The sequence below is a fragment of the Homo sapiens genome, chromosome 8, assembly GCF_000001405.40.
Source record: "Homo sapiens chromosome 8, GRCh38.p14 Primary Assembly".
Lineage (NCBI taxonomy): Eukaryota > Metazoa > Chordata > Mammalia > Primates > Hominidae > Homo > Homo sapiens.
Genome location: NC_000008.11, coordinates 19,752,312 through 19,759,533, shown reverse-complemented (window position 1 = coordinate 19,759,533; position 7,222 = coordinate 19,752,312). Strand labels below are relative to the sequence as shown.

General features: G+C 46.8%; 1 protein-coding gene across 32 annotated transcripts in view; it reads left to right on the top strand.

Moving 5' to 3' along the window:
* Positions 1 to 1,625: 1,625 nt before the first annotated feature.
* CSGALNACT1 (chondroitin sulfate N-acetylgalactosaminyltransferase 1) overlaps positions 1,626 to 7,222 on the top strand; it is a 353,748-nt gene continuing 348,151 nt past the window's right edge. For 15 of the 32 annotated variants that reach the window (NR_148898.2, NR_148897.2, NM_001354476.2 and 12 more), the window contains exon 1: positions 1,626 to 1,684. The gene's annotated coding sequence lies outside the window, so the exon portion shown is untranslated. Of the gene's footprint in view, positions 2,596 to 4,078; positions 6,479 to 7,222 lie in introns of those variants that run through there. The other 17 variants (NR_148900.2, NR_148899.2, NM_001354483.2 and 14 more) reach the window with 5 other exon arrangements.

Sequence of the window (7,222 nt, the reverse complement as noted above, 5' to 3'; positions counted from 1 at the left end):
TGGAAATGGTAACAAGGTACTGTTATAAGTTATAAGCCCCTAAAAAAGTAATTAATCCTGAAGTGAGCTCCCTCTTTTTTTTATTTGAGACAGAGTCTCATTCTGCCATCTCCGCTCACTGCAACCTCCGCCTCTCCGGTTCAAGTGATTCTGCTGCCTCAGCCTGCTGAGTAGTTGGGATTACAGGCATGCACCACCACACCTGGCTAATTTTTGTATTTTTAGTAGAGACAGCGTTTCATCATGTTGGCCAGGCTGGTCTCAAACTCCTGACCTCAGGCGATCCACTCACTTCGGCCTCCCAAAGTGCTGGGATTACAGGCGTGAGCCACCGCGCCCGGCCTCTATCTCTTTCTTTTAGATAACAGCTATAGAACCAATTGCAGCAACAAGGACGCCTCCTCCACCCTCCCCAAGCCTGTCCACATAGTCTAGAACCTGAGTCCAACCGTGTGTGTCTGTGGTGGGCCCTGGCAGTTACTGCTCAAGTCCTCTGGGCTGTCTTCCAGACCAGATTCCATGCTGAAACTGTATTTTCTAATTCTGCAGATATCACTGAGCAGAAGGACGGGAGATGCTTCAGGAGAGGAAAGAAAATCAATGCTTTGACAACACACCTGCCAATATAGGGAGGTGTAGGAATGCTTCGGTGGCAGTGGGAAGGCTCTGAAGAGGTTACTTGGTTACCCAAAGAGTGCTTGACTGTGAAGGTTCTAACCTTTACACAACTCATAACCAACGCCAGCCTCCATGTCCTGCCCTCCGTCTGCAAAATGGGGAGTATCATGATTTGCCTTAAGAGGGTGCTGTGTGATAATGTGGGAAGGAGCCTTGGCCAATGGCTTGTACCTATGTATGTGTGTACGTATGCTGTGTTAACTATTTATTACCTCCATTATGCAGCATTTTGGGGCAGTAGCAGAATAGACATATTTTTCATTCATTTGGAAAACACCCACTTCCCTGTTTCCCAAGTCTCAATTGAATTGCAGTGGGTATATTAGGTCACGAGGGTGAAGAGTTCACTCAGGGTGTGGGGTGGGGATAGGTCCACCTGGGGAGTCCAGGTGGGAAGCAAAACTTGCTTCAGGGATGCTTCCTGCAGGTAAGCAGGAGCTTAATGGAAACCGAGCTGCTTCAAGACTGTGCCTATAGCCTCAGGACTGCCTACCCTGTGCCCACAATAAAGTCTGGTGCGCCGGAATCTCCCAGATGGAGACTCTGAGCCAGGCAGTAGAAGGAGCCATGGCCAGGTAGTAGAAAGAGCACTGCCTCAGGAGTCATAGGACTGGTTTCCAGCTCCGGTTCTGCGGTGGCTCAGCCCTGGGGCCTCTGCAAGTTGCTTAACCGCATCTGCAGGTGATGACCTCTTCCAGTCTAACTGACTCCTCCTGAGTCCCCCTCAATTACACTGAAAATTGGCGATCCTATTTCCCAACTCCCTCTCCCACAGAGATGCGCTGGAGCACTTACAGATAAAAGGCGACCTGTGGCCCTGGAGGGTGCCTGCCTGTGTGTGCTGGAGGTGGCGGTGGATCTTTTATTACCCAACACTCCACTTGCCTTTTTAGCCTTTCCTCTCCCTCTTCTCTCCTGGCCTCCCAGTGGCCGTCAGGGGTCCCTGCAGACATCGCTTACCCACAGTGGTGCGGTGTGAGAGTTACAGGGGTTCCTGACCTTCGCTGTAAGTAAAAGCTCTCTAGGGGAGGCGTTATAGCTGACCAGGGCAGCAGAGACCGCGACTAAAGCGTGAATTCCCCGAAGTGCGATTTACAAAGTTTTTGCATGGAAGTCGGCGCTCGGCGGGGAGGGCAGCCAAGGGAACAGAGCGGGTGGAGCAGGGGGATGGGGAACTCTGTCCTGCAAGAGTAAGGACCCCATGGAGATTGGACACCTCTCTCCTGCAACTCGGGCCACGCCACAGTGTCCTAGTCTCTAAACTTCTCCGGCTCTTGGTGTCCAGTCACGCGTAAACCGCCCCTGGTGTCCGAGCGCGGCCCCTTCCGAGAGTGACAGGCTTCGGCCAGGGCGCCGCTCCGACGGGCGCAGGGACGCACTGCAGAGAGGCCGTGGGTGACGCGGAGGTACGCGGCCAACCGCGACCCCAGCCCGGCCTTGGCCGCCCCCGCCGGACCTACCCTGCGGCGGGGCGCCAGGCTTGGCCGCTGTTGCGCCCGCCCGCCCGAGCCGCCGCCGCCGCCGCTGCTCCCCGCCCCCGGGGTCCCTGGAGGCTCCGCGGCTGCCGGAGCGGGAGGTGGAGCCGAGTCCGCGGCGGCCGCGCAGGAGGGAAAGTTCAGCGACGGCGGCAGCGGCCGGAGCCGGGCCGGGCAGCTAGCAGGGCGCTTCGGGTGAGTCGGGTCCCCTCCCGGGCCAGCCGGGCGCGGTGTGCCGCGCGGGGGCGTCAGTGGCGCCGGCAGATCCCCACAGCCCCGCGCGCCTAGCTCGCGCCCGCCCACCCCGCGACCTCGGGGTGGCTCGTGCAGCTGCGGAGGACGGTGCCGCGCCTGGCCTCCCTCCGCCGCTGCCCGCCGGGGGCCCAGGGCACGGGCAGGGGCCGGGGACCGGCTTGGCAGGCGGAGGGCGCGGCGCCTCCAGGTGGGCGCGCGGGGACGCGGAGGGAGCTTCCAGGGAGGGTCCGGGGCCGCTGCGCTCCCGGGGTCGGTTTGGCTTCACCAGCGTTTCTCGTGGCCTTCCGCTGTCTGATTGCTTTCTGCAAAACCCACTGAAAAGTAGCCTTTCCACGTGCCGCGCGATGACTGCGGTTATTGTATTATTGTGGCTGGGATGGAGAGGGTGGAGGGGGCGTGACGAGGGTGGCCGGTGGGCAGCGCGCTCGCCTGCCCGGGACCGGGCTAGTGGGGGATGTGGCTGAGGGTCACCGCTGCCCGAACATGCCCAGGGGACGTGCGATCGGTGGGCAGAAGCTGTTCGAGGGCATGATCTTGGGGTGGGATGGGGGCTAGAAGGGCGGGGAGGAGAGGAAAGCTGTAGGAAGCGGAGGCAAAGTTGTTTGTTTCCGTCGCACTTCCTGCACCTGCATTCCTGTCAGAGATTTTGAAGTTATCTTTTCATCGATGAGCAAAGAATGGTGAGAAAGGAAGAGATGTTAACAGCACTGTGCCTGCCAAAACAGTGAGCCTCGGGAAATACTCATAAGTGAAATACTAATAAAAAGCATGGAGTGGTTAAATTTCACAAACTCCACTTTTCTTCTGGTTTCAAAGCCTTGGTGCAGTTTTTACTTAACGTCATTAGATACGTCTAGATAATAAAGGTAATGAAGTGTTCTTTCACGGTTTTTTTTTTTAAACTGGAAATTTAAATTTAATTCTGTAGGATTTCGTCGACATTGTTCCTACAAGAAAGTCAAATTACCTTGGTGTTACTTGCAACAGTGAGCATTAATAAGCCCTGTGCAGTGCTGAAATGTTGCTAATTGGAGGGAGAAAGGTCCTTCAAACTTGGAAATAGACGCAGAAAGGCAAGATGAATTTTTATGTAAGCCTTAGGCATAAAAGGCGACTTGAACACGTTTTGTAATAGTGCATAATACACAGGGGACTAGGTGTTGGGCTGCCGGAAGATGGTCAATTCCTAGAAAGCAAGAGACGGGCCATACCCATTGTAAGATCACCGTACATATTTAATAATTCGTCTGCCTTGAGCTGCCACACCATATGTACTCCACATAATACAATATCAAAATACTTTAATCCTGTTCATCTTTGTGTGCTAAATCTTATATGTCTATTTGTAAAATGTATTAGTGGGTTTTAAAGCAGAATCTCCGACATTTGGATTCATCCGTTTACATTACAGTGCAGTGAGCTTGTGTCTTTGCTGTTCCAGAGACCTGAGCTCCAGGCGGCTTCTTCCACTTATTAATTGCATGACCTTGGGCAAGTTACTTCCCCTTTCCTAGCCTTGGTGTCCTAATTTGTAAAATGCCAATAGTATTCCTCACCTTATAGAGATGTTTAGCAGGAGGAAATTACATTTGGGAACTTATCCTAGTGCCCCGAGCACACAGTATGCACTTCATAAATGTTGTCTTTTTTTTTTTTTTTTTTTTTTTTTGTCTTTCTTTACATTTAGGGATCCCCAACTCCAGCATGTTTCAACATTTAAAAAAAATTGTAAAAATTCCTTCTTCTTTGTAACCCTACTTTCTATTCATTTATCTATTGATTATTTATTGGAGAATCTCAGATACTGCCCAGTATAGGTGTTGAAAATAAGGAGTTGAAACTTTGGGGCAATACTTCAGCTTTTTCTTGTATCTTCCTAAGAATCCATCCTAAGTTCATATGATGATGAATGATACTTACCAATCTTCATGTTGCTCTAGCTCTGTTCTTAATGCCATGTTATTACATTAAAAAGAAATATCAGTAAGGTCTGCAAGGGTCCTCATCTTTCCTCTTTCCTCCATGTCTAACACAGTGCCTGGCAGGGCATAAGGACTAAATAAATATTTGTTGATTTAAAATACAGAATGTAATGAAGTTATTCTTTGGATCACATCCTTCTTTTAATAATTCCTGATGAAAGGACCTTGAGATTCTAAATGTTAGCCCTACTATATATTAGGGCTAATAGAGGTTATTACAGAGGCAAAGCTAGGGTAGACTTTATTACCTATTGATTTTGCATTCATGATGAAGCAGTCTTATAAAACCTATAAAGCCGGGTTGGAGAGGAGCTTCGCCACTAGGGGACCTCTTCAGCATAGTGTATCACCCCAGGCTGTCATTTATTACCATTATCCTGTCCTTTAAGGTAGCAAAGAAATTTAACTTCCTGGGTTCACGACATGGAATACTTTATTAGAAAAGGGCAACCTTGTGTCAAAAGCATTAGCCAAAGGCCTAAAAATAAATTAAAGTGGTCTTAAATGATGGATTTGGTACTGTTTTTAATAATTTTAGAGTTAAGGGCTTAAAAGAGATGTAAGAATTTGGATTTGTATTTTATATATCCTAATTTCCAAATATATGCTTTTTTAAACTTTGAAAATATATATGTATATGGTTTTCATCTAGGTATTTCAGTGGTTTTCTTTGTATGTCTTTGGTACAGCTTATTTTTATCTTTTAATGTGTTTAAAATGGTTTTATTTCCTAAATAGATATTTGTATCATTAACAGCAAAAAAGTTGTTTTTCAAGGAATTTTATCTGGCTAGCAGAAGCTTCTGGTTATCTGTCCTTTTTAAAAAATGTCTCACATCTATAATCCCAGCGCTTTGGGAGGCTGAGGCAGGCAGATACCTTGAGGTAAGGAGTTTGAGACCAGCCTGGCCAACAGGGCGAAACCCCACCTCTACTAAAAATACAAAAATTAGCTGGGCATGGTGGCACATGCCTGTAATCCTAGCTACCCGGGAGGCTGAGGCAGGAGAATCGCCTGAACCAGGGAGGCGGAGGTTGCATTGAGCTGAGATCAGGCCACTGCCCTCCAGCCTGGGCAACAGAGCGAGACTGAAAAAAGAAAATGGAGCCACATTGAATCTCACCTTTAAAAAGTGTTTTATCACATTCCAAGATGCATCACTGAAAGTCACCTTTCTTCTATGTGTTTTTGAGAAGACTTCTTATTTCTAAATTCTAATGTGAATGAAGTTAGTCGAGCTTGAGAATATTTATTGAACAACTCCAAGGTGTTTTTATTTGTTTGTGTTTTTATTTGCCAGAAATAATTTGCTATTTGGTAGAAAAATTACTGACAATGTATATAAACAAACATTATTACTGAAAATATTGCCATATTGTATGTAAATGAATGAGAACATTATATTTTCAGGTTTTCCATGAAACTTAATTCGAGTGACAAACTAAATACCTTTAATCTGTAAGTAAAATTAGAAACAGTTAGACCCAGGTGTGGTGGTCCCAGCTACTTGGGAGGCTGAGGTAGTAGGATTTCTGAAGCACTCAATATATCAAAACCACGCTAGGCAATATCTCAAGACCTTGTCTCAGAAGCAAATGGACAAAACCCAACGAAACCACAACAAAAACTAGCAACAGAGAAAAGTTTAGCCCATTGTAGGTCTTAAATCTTACCAGTGGTTTTCCTGTCTTATCTAGCAGAATGTCTCTGAGTTTGGAAAATTATCAGACATCCAATTCTGATATTTACATGGCAGGATTTTACGGTAAGACAATCTGGTTTTTTTTAAAAAATCAAGGTCTAGGTCAGTAATCTTAGGAGAACAGGGTAAGAGGAATAACTTTTGGATGAAGGTTGTAGAACATTTTAAATATCATTTCCCTCTGATTAAGCTAAATGTTTTGGATTACTTTTAGGATTCTGCGCACATGAAAAGGTTATAGAGATCCCATTTGCACAGACTAATGCTTCCCCAGAACTGCAAGAGTTTGGCTTATCCTCAAACCCCCAGCTAGCAAAGGCCATGGTGTCTCCCTGCCTCTCCTTCATCTTCGCAGACTGAAGCTGAGTCCACGCCAAGATGATAGGTACAAAGCTTTATGCAGGATGGGACAATTTAGTTTGGGCAAGAGCTCCAAGCTGAACAAGGTTATGGATGGCTGAGTTGAGAGGAAATGAATGAGTCTTTAAACTTGGGAGTCATTTTTAGGAACCAGCACTTGGGAGTTGTGCCTGCACAAAAATAATTGTTTGCTAGAATTTCATGTTTTGAACCTATGACTTAGGGAAACATTACTTTGCTGCACAGATAATTTTTATTGCTGTTTTTAGGCAATGCATAAAACATAACATTCAGTTACCCTGGAGTCATATTTGATAATTTGTTTCATTTTCACACACAAAGGACATTTGAGTTGATGGAAGAAAAGAGAAGCAGGAAATGGGGAGGAGGTAGATGTGATTTGTCCATTTATACTGAGGGCCAGCCTTGTTTTTGTATTCTTAAGGCACGTGGGCACACAGCACTGCAGCTTGATACTAGGAACTGGTTACTGGTGATTTTTGTGGTATGTTCATCTATTCTGTTAATAAAATTACTAAAATGGTGGTCTTTGACTTAGGCTGTGTGTTCTCACAAAAGTGACTTTCTACTTCTGTTTCTCAAATATTAGAAACGTGCTAAAGTTAACGCATCAGTCAATAGGTCAACATACGTACACAGGGCTGTGCTAGGAACCCCTTCGTCTGTGGTAGACTGTTCCATGTCGGGTGCTCAGCCTGGTCAACAGAGAGTGGGCTGAAGTTCCTGCAGGGCACACTTTGCGGCACAA